Source organism: Homo sapiens, chromosome 13 (genome assembly GCF_000001405.40).
Source record: "Homo sapiens chromosome 13, GRCh38.p14 Primary Assembly".
Lineage (NCBI taxonomy): Eukaryota > Metazoa > Chordata > Mammalia > Primates > Hominidae > Homo > Homo sapiens.
The window spans coordinates 108,659,408-108,681,192 of NC_000013.11; the positions used below are offsets into that span (position 1 = coordinate 108,659,408).

A 21,785-nucleotide genomic window follows, 5' to 3' on the forward strand; every position below is an offset into this window, starting at 1 on the left:
TTTAGTCCTACAGAGGTACGCACTCGCTGAGCAGGGGCTTCTGGCCATAAACTTTTATCTGGAATTGCAGGATAACCATATATGTAGAATCCCTGCCACCTCCCTTGCCCCCCTAAAAAAGTGTAACACTGGAGATAAGAAATCCATTACAAAGATGAGCTTCATGACACTGCCTCAGGCCAGATAATTTTGTAAGGAAAAGCAGTTAGATGGGAACACGGTGTCATCTTGCATTTCTGTAAGAGCAGGACTAAGCATTTATCTGCCACATGTTAAGTGCTGGATTAGGTCCTAATAAAGAGTGTGATATTTCTTCCATCAACATAATTGTCCGTTCTGCAATTTCATTCAACAACAACAGCAAAACTATTGACTACCTCCTGTTCCAGAGGCTGAAAGTAAGCAGGGGAAGAAACAGCCCAAGTTCCTGCCTTTATGGGGCTTACTAAAGCAATAAGAAAATATATAGAATTGTATTTTAGGAAATCGATTAGTATAGATATTAGTATAATGTACGGTTGAAGGATAGTAATTGATATTGTAGGAGAGCCGTGTGTGGTGGTAAATGCCTGCAGTCCCAGCTACTTGGGAGGCTGAAGTGGGAGAATCACTTGAGGCCAGGAGTTTGAAGCTGCAGTGAGCTATGATTATGCCACTGCACTCTAGCCTGGGCAACAGAGCAAGACCCCATCTCTAAAATAAATAAATAATTAGATAGGTAGCTATTGTAGAAGTATAAGAGTGATAAATACTAAGGAGAAAAATAAAGCAAGCAATAGGAATTGAAGTGTTTTTCAGGGGACATTTGCCTTGTTAAAAGGGAATTTTGAGTGACCCCCATGAGGAAGGGTATCTGTTGACCAGTCTTTAGCTGTCAGAAGTCCACTTGTTCCAACGTATAGTTTAAATCCATTGTTTCTTTGTTGACTTTCTGTCTTGATGACCTGTCTAGTGCTGTCAATGGAGTATTGGAGTCCCCCACTATCATTGTGTTGCTGTCTAATTTCTTAGGTCTATTAGTAATTATTTTATAAATTTGGAAACTCCAGTGTTAGGTACATATATATTTAGGATTGTGATATTTTCCTGTTGGGCAAGGCCTTTTACCATTATATAATGTCTCTCTTTGTCTCTTTTAACTACTGTTGCTTTAAAGTTTGTTTTTTTCGGATATAAGAATAGCCACCCCTGCTTCCTTTTGGTGTCCATTTGCATGAAATGCCTTTTTCCACCCCTTTACTTTAAGTTTATGTGAGTCCTTATGTGTTAGGTGAGTCTCTTGAAGGCAGCAGATAGCTGGTTGGTGAGTTATTCTACATTCTGTAGTTCTGTGTCTTTTAAGTGGAGCAATTAGGCCATTTACATTCAATGTTAATTTTGAAATGTGAGGTATCATTGCTTACATCATGCTTGTTGTTGCCTGTGTACTTTGGTTTTGTTTTTTGTTTTTGCTTTTTAACTTGTATTTTTGTTTTATGGATCCTGTGTGCTTTATGCTTTAAAGAGGTCCTGTTTTGATGTGTTTCCATGATTTAAATCTCCTTTTAGCAGTTCTTACAGTGGTGGTTTGGTTATGGCAAATTCTGTTAGCATTTGTTTGTCTGAAAACAACTGTATCCTTCCTTCATGTATGATGCTTGGTTTCTCTGGATACAAAATTCTTGGCTGATAATTGTTTTGCTTGAGGAGGCTGAAGATAGGTCCCCAAGCCCTTGTAGCTTGTAGGGTTTCTGCTGAGAAATCTGCTGTTAATCTGATAGGTTTTCTTTCTTAGGTTACCTGGTGCTTCTGTCTCAGAGCTCTTAAGATTCTTTACTTCATCTTAACTTTAGATAACCTGATGACAATGTGCCTAGGTGATCTTTTTTGTGATGAATTTCCCAGGTGCTCTTTGTGCTTCTTCTATTTAGATGTCTAGGTCTCTCTCAAGGCTGGGGAAATTTTCATCAATTATTCCTCCATATATGTTTTCCAGTTTTTCAGAATTTTCTTCTTCCTCAAGTACACTGATTATTCTTAGGTTTGGTCATTTAACATAATCCCAGACTTCTTGGAGGCTTTGTTCATATTTTCTTATTCTGTTTTCTTTGTCTTTGTTGGATTGGGTTAATTTGAAGACTTTGTCTTCAAGCTCTAAATTTCTTTCTTCTACTTGTTCACTTCTATTGCCGAGACTTTCCTGAGCATTTTGCATTTCTAAAAGCATGTCCAAAGTTTCCCAAATGTTTGATTGTTTTTTCTTTAAGCTATCCATTTTCATGAATATTTCCCCTTTCATTTCTCATATCAGTTTTTGGATTTCCTTGCATTGGGCTTTCACTTTCTCTGGTCTCTCCCTGATTAGCTTAATAACTATCCTTCTGATTTCTTTTTCAGGTAAATCAGAGACTTCATCTTGGTTTGGATCCATTGCTGATGAACTAACGTGATTTTTTTGGGATGTTGAAGAGCCTTGTTTTGTCATATTACCAGGGTTGGTTTTCTGGTTCCTTCTCATTTGGGTTCCTCTGTCAGAGGAAAGGTCTAGGGCTGAAGGCTGTTGTTCAGATTCTTCTGTCCTATGGGGTGTTCCTTTGATGTAGTACTCTCCCCATTTTCCTATGGATGTGACTTCCTGTGAGCCAAACTGCAGTGATTGTTGTCTCTCTTCTGGGTCTAGCCACCCAGTGAGTCTACCCAGCTCCAGGCTGGTACTGGGGGTTGTCTGCACAGAGTCCTGTTACATAAATTGTCTATGTGTCTCTCAGCCGTGGATAACAGTACCTGTTCTGGTGGAGGTGGTGAAGGCTGCAGTGGACTGCATAAGTGTCCTTGGCTTTGGTGGTTTAATATTCTATTTTTGTGCTGGTTGGCCTCCTGCCAGGAGGTGGCATTTTCCAGAAAGCATCAGCTGTAGTAGTGTGGAGAGGGACTGGCAGTGGACGGAACCCTAGAACTTCCAAGATTAATGCCCTTTGTTTGCCACTACCAGGGTGGATAGGGAAGGACCATTAAGTGGGAACAAGGCTAGGTGTGACTGAGCTTAGACTCTCCTTGGTTGGGTCTTGCTGTGGCTGCTTTGGGGGATGGTGGTGAGATTCCCAGGTCACTGGAGTTGTGTACCTAGGAGGATTATGGCTGCCTCTGTTGAGTCATGCAGGTTGTCAGGGAACTGGGGGAAAGCCGGCAGTCACGGGCCAGGCAAACCTAAGGGCTGATCTCACTCCCACCGTGCCCCACAAACCAACAGCCCTGAGTCTGTTCCCAGGTGGAGGGCAAGATGGGTTTGAAAACTTGCCCGAGGCTATCCAACTTCCAGCTGCAAGAGAAAAGGGCTTTAGTTCTTTCCCTGCCTGTGAAGTCTGCATGCCTGATTCACACCCTCCCCCGAGTTCTGGCCAGGATGCTTCTCATCCTGTTAAAAAATGTTACAAAGTTCAGCTAGAGAATTCCTTCTCCCTCTGGCCACCCTCCCAATGAATCCCTGTGGTGCCAGGCAGGAATGGGCTGCTTGGGGACACAGTGAGCTCCCAGGACCTTTCTGCTGCTTCCTCTACCCATGTATTTTGCTCAGCCCTCTAACTTGACTCAGCCCCAGGTAAAGTTGGAAACTTCTCCCACAGACAGACCTTCACCTTCTCCAGTGGGGGTGTGTGTCTGGGAAAGGAGGGTCTCTCTTTCCCTCTTCTGCAGTTGGGGCACTCATAGTATTTGAGGTTTCTCCCAGGTCCTGCAGGAGCAGTCCTCTTCTTTCAGAGGATCTGTGGGTCCTCTCGGGATTGCTGGTTTCTTCTTGAAGTCAATCTGGAGCTAAAATTCACAATGCAAGCCTCTACATGCTGCTCTGTCCGCAGCTGCAATCCAGTCCTGCCTCCTGTCCACCATGATCCCCTGAATCCCTGTGTTATCTTATAGATTCTTTCTTTATTTTTTTTTTGAGATCAACTGGTCATATTATATATCTTATCGATTCATAGACATATACGTACATGACACAGCTGACCCACTTGGACTTAGATTAAAAGAAAGTCAAAATGCGCAATAAATTTTCAGATTACAAAAGAATCAATTTATAAACTAATGTTTTAGATCAAAACATGGGGAATTATTTAGCAAAAATACATTAAAAATCAAGATTTGAGACATGAATGGACTTAAAATTTAACAATTATGGTCTTTGAGTTTTCCAAATCATAAAGGAAAATAAGAAAATTGATTTAAGAGCCACCCTCTACATTCCCTCTTGACAGCCTGTGAGGGAAAACTCAATGAATCATGATCTGTCACTGTGGATTTTTTAAAAGTTAATTGAAAATTTCACCAAGAGACGCTTCTTAAGAGTTACAAACTAGAGGACTGCTATGTTTATTCAATTATCCTCAGCCATCAACTGCTGGCTAATCAACACATGGCACTCTGTGATGTTATTTGTTTTAATTCTTTAGGCTTTTTTTTGTGGCCCTGTTGATCCCCTGGGCACCTAATGACAAGCCAGAAAAGTCACAGAAGTCAAAGTGTCACAAGTATCAAAGTCAATCAATCAAGCCCTGTGCAGTTTTCTACACAGATGTGAAAGCAGAAGACAGTTATGGTTCTTTATTAATGAGCTTTCTCATACAATCTGTTTCTGGCAGTGATCATAGCTTTTATCAAATAAGTGTACTCCAGAGCAATTTGTCATCGTTTCAGAACCACTGTTGTCTATTTGCGTTTAGGTTACTGGACAGGGAATATTTTATGTATAGTTAGTTGATATTTCTCACATCACTTTTATGAATACTTATGAAGAGTCTTATGAAAACATATGATACTAAAACGTATAGCTTCTGTCAAATGCAAATAAATGAACACAAAATCCCCCAACATGGCTTCTTTTTCTTCCTACATCCTATGTAAAAGTACTTATATATTCAATACCTGGCATTAGAGAATCATGGTGCTTTGGTTTGTTTCTTCTCTATGGAGCATTTTTTATTCTGTTTGTCTAATTGCCTCTTTAACCTTAGACAAGTCACAACCTCTCTCAACTTGGTTTTCTTTATATGCTAAACAGGGATGTTTATGCTGGTGCACCTGGCGGCTGTGAGAATAAAGACTTGGAAAGTGTCACAAGAAACAGAAGTGGAAATAGTGTTGTCATGACTTGTTGTTCCTTCAAAGGACCAGGGCATCTTTCCAAAGATGAACTATACCCTTAGTATATAATCTTCTTGGATATGGCATATGATCAACCACATTTTGTGCATGCATAGTTACTTTAACCTCCTTGAGACCTGATATCATAAATAGCTTAAGAATATATAAACACATCTGAATCTGTGTTTGCAAGCCAGCTTCTAGAATTTTTAATGCTTTAACATTGATTTTCTGCCAATAGTAAAATTTTAACCTAGTGGTAAATATAAGTGTTTATACAATTCCATTACAGGTGCTTTGACTGGTGTTTATAGGAAGTAGCCTTTTGAAACAAGGGGGATATTTTAAGTTTCAGAAATGGGAATTCACTTTGTTAATCACTATATAAATAAAACAAGAACCGTAGCAGCCAAAATTCTCTCCACAATTTTGAGAAATATCTCTGTGCCAACCCTCAGTCTTTATACTTAACCACAGGTTTCTTGGAAATGAATGTCACTGATGATGAGAAAAAGAGTTTAGCAATAAATTAATGAAAAATGTCCACTGTATCATATAAGGAGTTGATAGCACATATATTCTCCTGTTTTCCCCACTCTGTTGCCCAGACTGGAGTGCAGTGGTGCAATCCTAGCTCACTGCAACCTTAAACTCCTGGGCTTATGCGATCCCCCACCTCAGCCTCCAAGCAGTCGGGACTATAGCCACATGCCACCATGCCTAGCTATCTTAAAAGTTTATTTATTATTTATTTATTTATTTATTTTTGGAGAGATGGGGGTCTTCCTATTGTTGCCCAGGCAAGTCTTAAACTCCTGGCTTCAAGTGATCCTCCTGTCTCAGCCTCTCAAATCACTGGGATTACAGGCTTCAGCCATTATACTTGGCAGCATATATATTCTATTACCTTAAATTAACAGCGTCATGATTAGTCATCATGATACGCAAAAGCAAATCTATTAGGTTGTTCTGAAAAAGTTTGGAATGATTTTATGCCAACATTTAACATGCAAAATTAGTATTACTCAATTAGAAGGAACTTGACACAGTGATGAAATCTGGAGGCTTTTGGGATGGATTGAAAGAAACAGGAAGAGATGGATGGTTAGTAATTGTGTTGAGCTTAACTACATATGCATGTCTAATTCCATCATTTGTTTTATTACCACAGAATCTTGAGAAACACACGAACTATTTTTCCCCAATCTATAAAAAGGGCTTTGGATTTGCAATATCAAGTGCAAGGAGAATTGTTGCATTTATGACCTGTGCAATGGACAATATAAAATCAAGTGTGCTGTGGTGCACACTTATAGTGGTTATAATAATAGGTCTGGTGACGCTCCCCTTGCATTTCTTCCAGGTTGCTTTCAGCTATGTAACGTTTTTCGATCCCATGAGATGGAAATCGACCAGTGCTTGCTAGAGTCCCTTCCCCTTGGCCAACGGCAGCGTCTAGTGAAGCGCATGCGCTGTGAGCAAATCAAAGCCTACTATGAGCGCGAGAAGGCTTTTCAGAAGCAGGAAGGGTTCCTGAAAAGGCTGAAGCATGCGAAGAATCCGAAAGTTCACTTCAACCTCACGGACATGCTACAGGACGCGATTATCCACCACAATGACAAAGAAGGTACATGATAAGAAAGAAGGACCCGTTTTCTGATGTGATTTTTCATGATTGATTTTTGTTGGTTTGTTGTTTTTTTGATGGAGAGATGGGGCAGAAAAGTCCTTTTAAATATTGGAGGCTACTATCTTTTAACTGTTTGTATTATTCAAGAAAAAAATGCTCTTTGCAAAGAACATCATTAAAAGTCCTACCACCTAGTAAGATAAAAAAATGTAAAAATTGTGGTGAGATTGTATTTTTTTTTTTAAAGAATTAGCTATCAGTAAAGCAAGTGAGTTCCTTTCCAATTGTTTAATTCTAATTGTTAGGGAAACTTTTTATCAATGAATTTTTTTTTCTATTTAGAAAATTTTTATAGAGACAGGGTCCCACTATGTTGACCAGGCTGGTCTCGAACTCCAGAGCTCGAGCAGTCCTCCAGTCTCAGCCTCCCAGAGTGCAGGAATTACAGAGAATTGTTTTTCCTGATGATGATTTGGGGCTATGGAATTTGTTCATCCTTAGCTCATGCTTTGATAGATGCAGCAGTAATGTCACTTTCCCCGACTCTCAGGAGTCAATTTCTTTTCTCCCTTAAAGTTGTTTGGCTTGTGGTATCATGTTTTTCTAAGATTACCCAATGCAAATCTCAATTGTCTTCACAAGACTGTTAAATTTTTTCACTTTTTATATACTCTTGTATGTGAATTTTTCTGTTTTCCTATATAGAACCCACTTTCCCAAGTTCAAATGTGAGATAAATGTTCCAGCTCTGGATGTAATTGTTGTAATTGTACAAGGCTTCAAAGAAACAGATATAAATCAATTTACCTTGACTGGCTCTCAAATCAGTATTTGGATGAATCTAAAATGAGCATCTTCACAATTCATTACTCACAATTTGGAATCCAAAAAGCTCCGAAGCCGTTATTTTGATAGCTCATTTAGTGGCAAAACTTTCACTGACCTACTTATGGTTTATAACCTGTTCAGTTTGGAAAAATAATAAATTCAATAACATATGTGCTTTGAAGGCTTTCAAATGGGGATTGTGGATCTATAGCTAAGAAAACCTATAGCACATTATATACAATAATAGTTATACATGGTAAGAAGACTCAAGTCATTTTTTTCATGGTTTTGTATGGGCTTTTTCTAGTTAAACTGTAATATTCTGAGAATTTCTGTTTTGTTTTTTTTTTTTTTTTGTCTTAAACTGCAATGACAGTAACAGTGAATCTTTGAGCTGGAAAGTACCTAAAAACATTTGGTGTGATCCACTTACTTTACCCATGAAGGAACTGAAATTCAGCCATTGTATCATATTTTCTGGAAAGCTGTCTGGAGCACTCTGATCTTTCATTTTATTATTCTCTTCTCACCTATGGCTGTTCATTGAATGGCCATCTCCTCTGTGAGTCTGTGAGCACATCGAAGGTAGGGAGAATGCCCATTAGGGTCATTGCTCCCTCCTGCCCATCTCATACCTTCCAGCAGCATTGAGCAAAAGAGAGTAAAGTGATTGGTTCTTGTTCAACACACAGTAGTTGTTACAACAAACTTAAATAAGAAAGCAGATCTTAAAATTTAAGCCCTATTTTGATTTAAAAGTAACAAAACACAAAAAATAATTGGTGCCAGGTATGGTGGCTCATACCTATAATCCCAACACTTTGGGAGGCATAGGTGGAAGACTCTCCTGAGGCCAGGAGTTTGAGACAAGCCTGGGCAACATAGCAAGACCCCATCTCTACAAAATATTTTTTAAAATTAGCTGGACCTGGTGGTGCATGCCCAGCTACTCAAGGAGTTGAGGTGAGAGGATTGTTTGAGCCTGGGGATTAAGGATATAATGAGCCATGATGGTGACCTGCACTCCAATCTGTGCAACAGAGCAAGACCCTGTCTCAAAAACACTTCTTTTAATGTATTGGAAATGTTTTAAAATTTCTTGTACCAAATATCTACAGTGCACCATTGTGTTTAGGTTAGGGTTAAAAGAAAACTCATAGTAGTAAATTACTAACTAAAAAGCCAAGAAGCAGTTATTATATAAGTTACGTTTCCCCAAACATTCATGTCATACAATCTGAATTAATGCTTTCTAAGCAGATGTTGTAGGTGTGAAACTATGCAACCTAGTTTCTGGTGGCAAGCTAGGCAAGAGATGATGGTGGCTTGGACCCAAGCGGAGCTAGGGTGTGGTGAGAAATAGTCAATTTTAGGATTTATTTTTAGGATAGAGCTGACAGGAAATGCTGATTACCTGGCTATAGGGAGTGTATTGATTTTCTATTGCTACCAAAACAAATTATCACGAATTTAATAGTGACAAACAGCGTAAGTATTACCTTACAGTTCTGTAGGTCTGAGGTGAGGTATGGGCTTCGGTGAGATGAAAACAAGGTGTCATCAGCACTGGTTCAACAATTCCAGCTTCCGGAGGCCACCTGCCTTCCTTGGATCAGAGCCCCCTCCTCCGTCTCCAACATCAACAGTGATGGATACGGGGCAGGGACAGTGCTCCTTCTCACGCTTCAGTTTGCCTGTTTCTTTGTCCATCCTTGTATCTGACTGAATCTTCTGCCTCCCTCTTGCACCTTTAGGGGCCTATGTGATGACACTGGGCTCTCCTGGGCTATGCAGGTTCATCTCCTGTTCCAGAGGCAGCTCACTAGTAACCATGCATCCCTTTCTCCAGATCATCTTGCATAGCCGCAGATGTAACTCCAGAGGGTGAAATCGGGACAGCCAAAATGCTCCCTACTACAGGGAGTGAGAATTCCAGGATAACATCAAGCTTTTGGGGCCTTGACAACTAGAAGAATGAAATGCCATTAGCCACAGTAGGAGTGCCTCTAGGAGTTGTGAATGAGATGGGGTGGCATCCTGGCTGGAGACGTAAATTGAAAACTCATGAGCATATAGATGATACCGAAAACCCCAAAAGTGGTTGAAGTGACGTAGAGAAAGAGTTTAGGTAAAACGATACGAAGTCTAAGAACTGAGTCCCAAGGAATTCCAATATTAATAATTCAGTGAAATGAGGTCCAATCACAAGGAATGACCAGGAAGAAAGGATGAAAATGAGGGAGGGTGCTTTCTTGGGAGCCAAGATGAGTTTTCAAGGAGGAGAAATTTTTATTGATCAAGCAGGAGGAAGCCTGAGAACTGACCATTGCATTTAGGAGTATGGAGGTGATTAGTTTTCTTGACTTGTTGGGAGCAAGAATTTTAATGGATTAGGTTCTGTACAGAGTAGGAAAACAGGAATGGACACAGAAAGTATAAAGAGCTCTTTAAAGGAGGTTTCTGTAAAGAGGAGAGAAATGGAAAGATTACTGAAGAGGGAACAGACGTTAAGAGCTTTTTTTAATGATGGGAGAATTAACAGCAAGTGTATGTGCTGATAAAAATAATTCATTTGCATTTCTCTAATGACCAGTGATGATGAGCTTTGTAGGCCACATAAATGTCTTCTATTGAGAAGTGTCTGTTCATATCCCTCACCCATTTGTTGATGGGGTTGTTTTTTTATTGTAAATTTGTTTAAGTTCCTTGTAGATTCTGGATATTAAATGTGGTACATATACACCATGGAATACTATGCAGCCAGAAAATAGAATGAGTTCATGTCCTTTGCAGGGACATGGATAAAGCTGGAAACCATCATTCTCAGCAAACTAACACAGGAACAGAAAACCAAACACCACATGTTGTCACTCATAAGTGGGAGTTGAACAATGAGAACACACGGACACAGGGAGGGGAACATCACACACTGGGGCCTGTCGGGGGATGGGTGGTAACGGGAGGGAGAGCATTAGGACAAACACCTAATGTACATGGGGCTTAAAACCTAGATGATGGGTTGATAGGTGCAGCAAACCACCATGGCATATGTATACCTATGTAACAAACGTGCACTTTCTGCACATGTATCCCAGAACTTGAAGTAAAATTAAAAATAAAATAAAAATAATTCATGTGAGAGGGAAAATCTGGTGACACTAGAGTAAGAGAAGGCAATTGATGGAGCAAGCCTGTGCACATGCATACTGTGATGAGTTCAGCTGCCCACTGGATGGGCTTGGCTTCAGCTGGGATCACCTCTAGCAGTCATTCTCAATCCTGGCTGTATAACAGAATCACCTGGGAAGATTTTATTTTTTAATTTCCATGTCTAAGAACTGCCCATAAAGATGCTGATGTAATGAGTCTTATATGGGGCCAGGATGGTTTTTAATGGTGCCTAGGAGACTATGGAGTACAGAGAGAACTGAGAACTTCTGATCTAGAGAATGGCAGATGTGGTATGAACCTGTGGTTATTCTCCTCCTGGTTTTGATACTAATCAATGAAAGAACCATGGCCCTTGGCTAACAGTGAGGGTGTGGAAAATGAACTGAAAGTAAAGCAAAGAAGGGAACATGCAAGTATGGGAGAACAAATGGACCAAGGCAAATACTGTATATTTTTAAATGGGACCTATAGAAAAAAAGATATAAAAAATAAGAACTACAAAGAAGGATCAAATGTGATTCAAGAATTTCAGTAATGGTTCGGCATGGACTCACTGCTCCTTTGTCCTTATTCTTAGGACATGAAGAGTTTCCCATCCTGAAACTTTCTATAGTTTTTAGAATACATCTGTCCTTAATTTGTCTTCCCAGAAATTATTTCACATGTATATATGGATGCCATTTTGGTGGAATATAATATAATCTTATCAATAGGCAGTCAATATTTGTTACATAATTAAAATCTGTTGATAACCACAGACGCCTGGCAAGGCTTTCTTAACATGTATTTTTAAGTGTAATAAATGGATAAGTGTATTATGTATAGCAGTTTGTTTATATTATGAATATTGGTATAAAGACACTAAAATCTAAGCAAGCAGTCAGATCTGATTTTTCAATTCAAAAGAAGCAGAGAGTAAATTTTTATTTGAATTAATACATGATTAACTTTTAGTTGTGTTTTATTTTATTTAAGAAATTGCTCTTTTGTGTGTTTCTTTTTTGAATGGCAAAGAAGAGAAAGGACTGGATAGAAAAGTCTCACATTTTGCATGGTGTAATGATTATGTTAAGGTGCTCAAAGTGATAGGAACAACAGGAAGCAGACAAAAACAATCACCCACACACAAACATACACATGTGCACACACACAATGTGTTTTGCATGCTTTCTCTGTGTACACAGCAAACTGTATACACCCTTCCTATATGCTATATTGTTAATGCCTTGTGAGAGAAATAACACAAAAATTTCTGAAGATATCGGAGGGAAATATCCTCAGCAAGGCAACCTATATAATTTCATCTCTTTTAGTGAATAGTTTCCATTACTAATGGAAGCAGAAGTGATGGACTATAGTGAAGGTCATCTTCAGCATCAAATGATGAAGAAATAGTTGACTCCTAGAACTCAATGAAAGAGTCTGAATTTGTAACAATTATTATAATTTCAAATGCATTATTGCAATGTAAAAATTAAAATATTTGGCTCTAGAGGGTGTCTGTTCAGCTCAGTCTGCTATATCAAAATATCACAGACTAAACGGCTTACACAGCAGACATTTATTTCTCACAGTTCTGAAGACAGGGAAGTCCAAGATCAAGGTACCTGGCTTGCTGACAGCCACCTTCTTGCTGTGTCCTCACATGGTGAAGAGGAAGCTCTGATTTCTCTTCTTTTAAGAGCACTAATCTTATCATGGGACTTCATCTCATAAACTCATCGAACCTAATTCCCTCCCAAAGGCTACAACTCCTAATACCATCACATGAGGGTTAGGGCTTCTACATATGATTTTTGAGGGAAAGGAACATTTAATCTGTAATAGGGCATATTTATTTGGTACTTGGAGCTGACCCAAGTATAAAATAATGGATATACATATATTACTTCCCTTGAGTTTCTCATCTACCTTGGAAATACCCTCGTGAGTACTCATATACCTCACTGTGCTAGGGGAAAAATATGAATTTCTTACAATTTAAGAAATTTGGATTGCAAATGAAAGTAATCTCTTTAGAAACAGTATAACGTCTCTAGCATATGTATTACTTCTCCCAAAAATGCACATAAGAAAAAGTTTTCACTTCATAGTGGTGATATTTTTATTTATCTTTAAGCTATTGAAATAGTCAAATGCACTTGTTTATGCAATTGAGAAAGTAAAAAAAAATTGCCATAAGAAAAAAGTTTCCATTTAAATTATTGTTTAAACTTGCAGATTGTATATTTGTATGAAATTTTATCTCTTATTTCCAAGTACTTTTATTGGCTGGCTGAGTATAAAGAATCAAATATACTTTTTCAAAGGACAATATGTCTGTGGTTTTTTTCATGTTAAGGTTTATAGTATGTCATTTAAAAGTAATTCAGGATTTTTTTTGCTTTATAAATGTATTTTTTTGTCAGTGTAAATTTAGTGTCTTTGATGTTTTTATTGTTCTGGGAGTTGGTGATATTTCAGTGTGTAATTTGTCATTTTAATATGCTGCATCAATCTAAAATGTGTTCAACAACTCTTTTTCCCTCTAAAAGGAAAACTGTCCTAAATTTTCTTTTAAGGCTGTAAATTCAACTCTATTTGAGTTACGCCACATGAAAGAAAAGGGAAGTCTGAGGGAGAGAGAGATAGAGAAATAGAGTGAGTGGGTGACTTAAAAATCAGAGAGGAAGTACATAGGGAAAATTTAAGAAGGAATGTGAATTCCCCTATTGGAATTGCCACTCCCAAATATTGCTTCGTACTAATTAGTCCACAATGTGTTTCCATTAAAAGTAACTGCTGATGTTATTATCTGGTGCCTTGCAGGTATGTTCTGCACTCTCTGAGCTCTACATGCCTTGACTTACTCCTTTCAATAACATATGTAGTAGGTACATATGTTATTGAAAGTAGGTAGGTCATGCACCCCACTTGGTGGGTGAAGCAATGCAGCCTTTGAAGAAGAAACTGCTACCTCAGGGCTTCCTGAGTTGAGAGACCATGTTTTTATAGACAACGTCATACTGCAAAAGTGATTTATGTGGTATAGTTAGAGAAACTTATCTTCACAGGTTGATTTACCTTCCTTGCCATTTGAAATTCTTTATTCCTGCTTTCTAGTGGAGCTCTCTGCCTGCTGTCAAGGGAATGTCCAAAGGCCAGGAGAAGTATTCTTTATGCTTTGGGGTTTTTCATCTTCTTTCCCTGATCAATCCCTCCCCGTTCTTCTTCCTTTTTTTTTTTTTTCAAAAGCAATGTTATTTATTTACTACTTAATATGCCAAATGTTTACTAAGGGCCTGTTTCAGTCCAGTCACACAAAGAACTTGTAAGCATATTTACAGAACTATAATATCATACTTTATTTATATCTCCATTTTATCACAAAATTCTAAGTAATCTATTAGGAAAATTGAAAAATATCAAAATGTAACACTGGGATACCTCTGTTTTCTTCTCCTACTCCTCAGATCCTTGTACCAGCTTCCTTAGTTGGTTACCTCTTCTATTGATCTCAGACTCTGATTCTAACTCTGTTTCTACCTATCTTCCCTGGAAGATCTCATTTTCCCCCACTGCATCGACCTCACCCACTCTAATTATCTTAAATCTGTATCGAGACTTTTTTCCTGAGTTCCAGTCTTAACTTTTCTGATGATGTTGCCTTTATTAATTGTCGTGTTCAAAGCTGAATATAACCACCCTCATCTTCTTCCCAAACCAAAACTTCCTCTGTGATTCTCCATTGATGTGCCATCACTCCCCTGGTCTTCCAGGACAGAAACCTTGAAGTCACTTTGATTTTTGGTGCAATTTTGTAAAGTATTGATGGCTTTACCTCTTCTGAATAATCTACAGGACATATCAACTGTCTGCGTGTCATTCAGAGCCCTCTAAATAGATGCCTAAAATATGTCGATGATCAATATACATTGAATGATGTATTCATTGATAGGCTGGACATCTCTTCATTTAGAAGTTCATAGGTAAATCATTAGGACCAAGCTTTCTCTCCCCTATGTACCCCATTCCCAAAAGTGTAGGCTGAGGTCAAAGAACAAATTTCATATATGCCTTAAGTGTTTTACACATAAAAAAGTGAAATAAGACTGCCCATTTAATTGTGATTATTTAGTCCAGCTGTTTCCTTGTATTTACTAGATTGTCTCAGAAGTTAAAATTCCACAGTAGTTGGTTATCAAGTAAGCTTATTTAAAAAAAAATTATCTCCTAGTATCTAGGGTATAAAGATAGAAGGAGCCTGTTATAATTTTCACAACTAGCATTTAGTGAGTGCTGTTTTTATGAGTGTGACCCATCTGGGCTGGCACTGTTTCCACAGGGGTGGTGATGGCGTTTTATTGGATGCAGCTTTATCCTCTCTCCCTGACCTCCCACAACCAGCTACATAAATTGGCAGTTTGAAAATGCGATGCTCTATAAGCGGATTTAAGCTGACACCTCGGAAATTGAAATCAGAACCCTGCCACCTTTAGAATCCGTCAAATCTACTAGGAACATGACCAAGCCTGGATCCATATACGCATTTTTAAATGAACATTACTGGATGTGATGTATGTTAAGTACTCTGCAAGGATGACTATTTCTCCAACTCAAAATTAGGAGTGTATTTGACATGGAATGTATGTAGACTCTCCCCAAAAGAGTCAGATTTAACCACTACGAATGTCTCCTATATTAGATACTTCGGATTGTAGAGCAAATATAAAATATCAGCCTGTCCTAAGGAAGAAATGGGGAGGCAACATTCCCAGCAAAAACACATTGACAACATGGTGCTGTCTGCATCTTCCCTGTTCCAGAGTGGCACCAAGCCTAGCAGAGAGAGGGAAGTGGCAGCTTCATCAGCGTCACTCCCATTTCATTAACTGCTCAATAGGATGGGAACATACCGCCCTCTGAATGTGAAGCTGTGGATTCATCCTTTCCTCTTAACTTAGCACAGGAGGGGAAGGATGCAGGAAGAAGTAGCTCAGATAAGATGTTTGCTGGGGCAGCTACAAGGTACAAAAGAATGACTTCTGGATTTTAGACAAAAAGGGTGAGTTTTCCAACTCCACATACATACCTACATCAGAGATTTGTATGGTTAAATATGTAGAGCGCAGGCACATGCTGACTCTAGCCCTCCGGGGCAGGTTAGAATTTCACATAGATACATTCAGTGCATTATGATGCCTTCAATTAATAGGGAACAGCTGCTAGGTAATTAAAGATGCCCATTTCCAAATCAGATATAAAATTACAAAAGCTTGCAAATTAATTGCATTTAAATTCTGAAGGATCCTGTATGAAGTGAATGTATGGCTTAATATTTCATGAACACAAATTCATATTTCTAAGAAATATTATTTTAATTGTCTGCTATATAGTCACAACTTTCATAGGTGTTGTGAGAATAATTGAAAAAAGAGGAAAAAAATATACCTAGATGGAAAGATGCACCATTCATTAAAAGGGAGTTGCTGTGGGCATTCACTGGGGTGAGGTAGGATGACACGAATCTGAAACCGTGCTCTCTTCAACATTTTATGAGTTTGGTAGGAAGAGAGAAAGGGACTTTTTGGCTGTAATCAATAGCGTGAGAGCAGCGATGGAGCCGGAAGAAAGCAGATTTCTGATATGAGAACATCATGATAGAAGCAGCATTACTTAGGTTTAGCATCAAGGATCTAACTCTGGAGTTCAGTCTGGGGGTTGATCTGTACTCTGATACTTAAGAGCTGTCTGTCCCCGGCCAGGGCACTTTCTGCACCTCATATTTCTGCAGATAAGGTTACGAGGTAAGTGCTCGTGAAGGTTAGTTGGTTAGATAATACATGCAAATACCTGCAAAGGAAATCTGCCATGTATTGCCACATGCATAATAAATGTTAGCTACTATTATGATTTGAATTAAGAGATATTATCAGAGTCGTAAAGTTGCTAAATAATGACATTGTTATATAATCAGTGATCGTCACCGTGAGTGTAAATTATAGGAATAACAGCATAGCTTTAGGAACGTTTTAGGCAATCATATTTTAAATTATGATAAAATGGAAAAAGGCTGAAGATAGACACATAAGCTAAGGGCACTGATGTAAACAAGATAATGAGAAACAGGAATTTGATAGCACCTTTGGAAATGTATTAAAAGGGAAAAATTTACATTATTAAGGAGCGCTGAGCAATATTTTTATTCATTGTTTTCTGCTAATGTGTGATTATATGTACGCGTGTGTGTGTGTGTGTGTGTGTGTGTGTGTGTGTGCCAGCCATCTCTCTAAACACTTTATACATATTGTCTCATTTAATCTGAAAAGAATCCTATGAGGTACTGTACTGGGTTAAAAATTTATGTCTACTGAGAACTTCTATGATGTGACTTGGAAATGGAGTGTTTGCAGATGTAATCAAGTTCAGATAAGTCATCAGGATCAGGGTGGGTCCCCATCCAAGGACTTGCGTCCATTGAAAAGAAGGGGAGAGTGTGGGCACACACAGAGGGAGGGCAGCATGAGAATATGGACCAAAGCCCATGTGGAGTGAGTGACACTGCTGCAAGTTACGGGACAAACCTCAGCAGCCCCAGAAGCCAGAGGAGAGGCGTGGTTTGTTACTCTGGTAGTCCCAGGGTCAGCAGTTCCCAGAATGGGAAATGTACTTGCTTTCTGCTGTGTCTACTGTGTCTTTGCTCCAGGGATTCCCCAACCCGCCAGGAACACCCTTCCTCCATTCCTTGCAGATGTACCTCTCCTCTCCCCTGCGGAGCCCTCCCCGACATCCTCAGGTGAAACACACGAAGCCCTTCCCCTGCAGCATTGCCAACACGAATTCCTTGAAGTGTAATCTCTGTTTGCGAGCCCATATCTTTCACTAAAATGTGTGTTATGCAAAGAAGAGGATCAGGATTCCTTAATTATTCATTCATTCATTCATGTAGCAAATGTTTATTGAATCCTTGTCATCTTCCATGTACTGTTCTAAGTGCTGGGGATGTGCAGAAGGAGGAGGGGATTCAGGGAAGCAAGAAAAGCTTGAGCAAAGGAACAGTGAGAAAGAATTTTTCTTTCCTGCCCTAATGAACTTCATGATATTTCTATCTCTATTCCTAGCACAGAGACTGTGTATGAGTCAGAGTTCTCCAGAGAACTAGAACCCATAAGGTGCACATGCATGTGTGTGTGTGTGTGTGTGTGTATATATATATATATATATGCATATATATATATATATGCATATATATATACAGGTATATATACAGTGTATACATATATATTCAGGTATATGTGTGTATATATAGGTACAGATACACATGTACATATATGTACCTATGTATATATGATATATATGTATATATACTTACATATACCTGTGTGTATTTATACATGCACATATATATTTATTTTAACCCAGTATTTTTGTATATTTTAGGGAAGGGGGAAGGAAGGAATGAATAATGGGTTCTGCTCTTTATAATTAAAAAATTGTCTCCTGATTTTGTAGTGTCACTTCCTCTGTGTCAATTTCTCGCGCCATACAATGTTATTTCTTAGAGCTGCTCCCTTCTCATAAGCCAGATGTCTAATAAGGATTAATGGCAAAACATGAAATCTGTCATTTCTGTCTCTTCACCATCAAGTTTTGATTAAATTGAAACTGAAAAAAAGCAAACATTTTAGTTAGCTGAATGAATGCTACAGCTCAGGTCTCCGATCCATCGAGTTTTAGACAGTATTGCCATAGCTGGTATAAACCTAGAGTTTTCTGATTTATTGTGCTCACAACAGTCTATGAGAAAGAAGAAGAACTGGCTGGTGATTTTCATAGGAAAAAGGCACAATCTGTCAGCAGCCCAGACTGCTGCTTAGTGTACAAGTGCAGCTGGAAAACAATCTGTAGATGATCACTGCCTCTGACAGTGCCACCATAGTACACACAGAAGTAAAATGTTCTACAGGGAAGATGTAGACGTGCCATTTATAAGATCAGAGAAATCACTTACTGAGTGCAAGAATGGACAGAACAGAATATATTTTCTGGGTTTTTCTCTGAGCCTTTTCAATACACAGAGAATTTCTAAAACTGGACATGCATAAACACTGCTTCATAAAGCAGCATTTGCAAACAGTGTTAAAACTGCCCCACTGGAGCCAGTGCCTCTGACCTTCTCAAGATCATTACTCTTTCAGCCTTTCATGATCCACAGAACAGAATCATATTCACAGAAGGGGAAAAGAATTTTAATGTTTCCCAAAGTAGAAAGAAAAGAAAACCAAACCACCTCCCCTTCATTTCAGTTTCCCTCATAACCAACACGTCTCGGAAGGTGTCTGTACTCATGAGTTCGAACTTCTCTCTTCCATTGTCTCTTGAAAACACCCCTACCAGGCTTTTTCCCAGTGATTCCACCAAACCTGCCTGTAGCAATGATCTCTTTGTTGCCAGGCTCAGAGGGTACATTTTTAGACCTTGTCATATTCATCTACAAGCATCATTGACTCCATTATTTCTTCCTTTTCCACTGACTTCTTTCACTCTGTTTTCTTCAGTTGACTTTCTCTCCTTGGTTTTTCATCTGCTTCACTGATCCTTCCTTCTCAGTCTCCCATGCAGGTTACTCTTCCCCTCTGCAAATTCTAGAGATGGTACCTGTATTGGTTTGCTAGGGCTGACGTAACAAAATACCACAGGCCCAGTGGCTTAAACAATAGCAATTCATGCTCTCAAAGGGCTGCAGGCTGGGAAGTCCAAGGTCGGGGGTCTGGCAAGTTTGATGTCTGGTGAGGGTCTGCTTTCCAGTTCATCAATGGCAGCTTCTTACTAGGTACTCACAGGGTGGAAAGGGCAAGGAGCATTCTGTGGTCTCTTTTATAAAAGCATGAATCCCATTGATGAGCAATCTACCCACAGAAAACCCCAGGTAATCACCTCCCAGAGACCCCACCTCCTAGTACCATCACATTGGGAATTGGGCTTCAACATAAGAATATTTTCTTTAAATACCTCTAGCCTGCTCCTGCCTTGGGGTCTTTGTACTTGCTGACCCAGATTCTGCATGGATCACCATTTGCATCTGTCAGCTCTCCACTCAAATGTTGCCTAATCAGTGAGGCTTGTACTACTGACCTACATCAACCCAACCCTCTCACTGTCTCCACTCACCCGCTTCCTTCTTTTTCATTGCACTTATAACCTTGAAGCAAATTCTTTATTTCCTTGATTTTTTATTGTCTATCCTCTCCCAGGAGACTGTAGGTTTACATGAGTAAGAGCTTTCTTTGCTTAGTTTATACTGTTCCCTGGCTTCTAGAACAACGACTTGCACAAAGTAGGTGATCAATAATATTTGCTCAGTGAGCAAATAAGTAAAGGGAGCCTCTTCCTAAGCATCTTTATTATACGGGGACCCTCAGTCCCCACTGTCATGACCTGGTTGTGGCCATCATAATTTTGCATCTGGTTTATTGCAACTGCCCCTAAACTGATCACATTATCTTCAGTCTTGTCCTCCCTTAGATCCATTCTTCTCTCTCTAATGAAGATAATCCTAAATGTACTGTTCTTGGTTCTGCAAAAAAAAAAATAATAATAATAATAATAATAAATAAAAATAAATAAAAAATCTTGTAATAATGCTTAGTTTCCAAACTTCTTTTCAAGAGAGTAGTCCTTGTTGATCTTTAATCTTTCCAGAATGATTGTTGACATAACCAGACTTCACCCTTCCCATTTCACACCCAGCCCACCTCTCACACCAGCACTTCCCACTGTACCTAGGCTCATTCAGCTCCTCAAGCCTCTTCTGCCATCCCCTATCTAGAACTTTGTATGTTCTAGTCCCAATACTTGCAGCTCTTTCTGTGTAGATCATCCCCATTCATCACTTAGATCCCAGTTTCTGTCTGAGCTCTGAACCTAGAGCACTTCTTCAGAGAAGGCTTTGCTGCCTCCCAGTTTGGTCCCACAGTGCCTGGAGCTGCTCCAATCCCAGCAGATGTCACAGAGTGTATCAGGGCATTGAATATTTGCTTCATTGGATCCAGAACTCACAGCGGGCTCCATGAGAGCAGGCTCTGGCTCTCATCCAAGTGGCTGGATCCCAGTGCCTGGCAGAGTGTAGTTTCTCACATATTACAGATGTTTCAATTACTGTCCATGTTATTTTTTGCATATTTGTTTTGCAAATTAACATAAGATGTCAATTTCTAGATAGCTAGCAACTGTTTCTACAATGCAAAATAAATGAGTTTTTTCCATTCATCTTATTGAATGTCAGATTGCCAGCTGTCTAGTCTATTATTTGCCCACATATCCAAGGTTAATACATGGTGTCTGGATTAACCTCTCCAAAACTCTATAATGCAGGCTTTGCATAGAGTTTGGCATGTTTTAAAAATCATCCACATAGAGAGAGAAGCAAAATTAGCTCTATGAGCACAATCAAGAATGCCACTTTTTAAAACACCTTGAGGCACTTTTTAATCCATAGCTTATGTTTCTAGTTATTATACACATGGAGAAATTGGTCTTACTACTATGCCATAGGACAAGGAGGCATAAGGTTGGTAAGAACCCAAATTTCTTCATTGCATATCTCCTCTCACCATTGTGGACCCCCAGTGGATCCAGCCTACAGATGGGGAGATGAGGGAGTGTATGGGAGAGGTTCAGGGCTTTATTAGGGTCCCAGATTTCATGCATGAACAATGGTGTTGTAGCTTATATTTTGCATTTGTGTAGTGACTTCTTATACATATATAGTGACTTTATTAAAATCTCAATGGCCATTAACAAATTCTTGCCAATATGATTTTTGAGTCAAACATGTCAAATGTCCTTCTCATGGTCTTGGTCTCTTTCATGGGATCATATCCAAATTTTATTTTTCCAAAGTCTGGTCACTGCTCTAAAATTTCCTCTTGCATTTTTAATCAAAAACCATGCAAGCATGTAAAACCATTTATGTCTAACGTGAATGTGTTTTTCCACACACCCACTCTTGCTTCCTCACAAAAATATGCTTCTCTTTCCCACATGTGTGTGTGTGTCAATA

General features: G+C 39.1%; 1 protein-coding gene across 5 annotated transcripts in view; it reads left to right on the plus strand.

Annotated features, from left to right (window-relative positions):
- Positions 1–21,785, plus strand: part of MYO16 (myosin XVI) — a 712,290-nt gene that overhangs the window by 163,692 nt on the left and 526,813 nt on the right. For all 5 annotated transcript variants that reach the window (XM_011521062.2, XM_047430183.1, NM_015011.3 and 2 more), the window contains exon 2: positions 6,479–6,742. In XM_011521062.2, coding sequence (XP_011519364.1) covers positions 6,517–6,742 — 226 coding nt within the window. In that variant the 5' untranslated portion in view covers positions 6,479–6,516. The remainder of the gene's footprint in view (positions 1–6,478; positions 6,743–21,785) is intronic.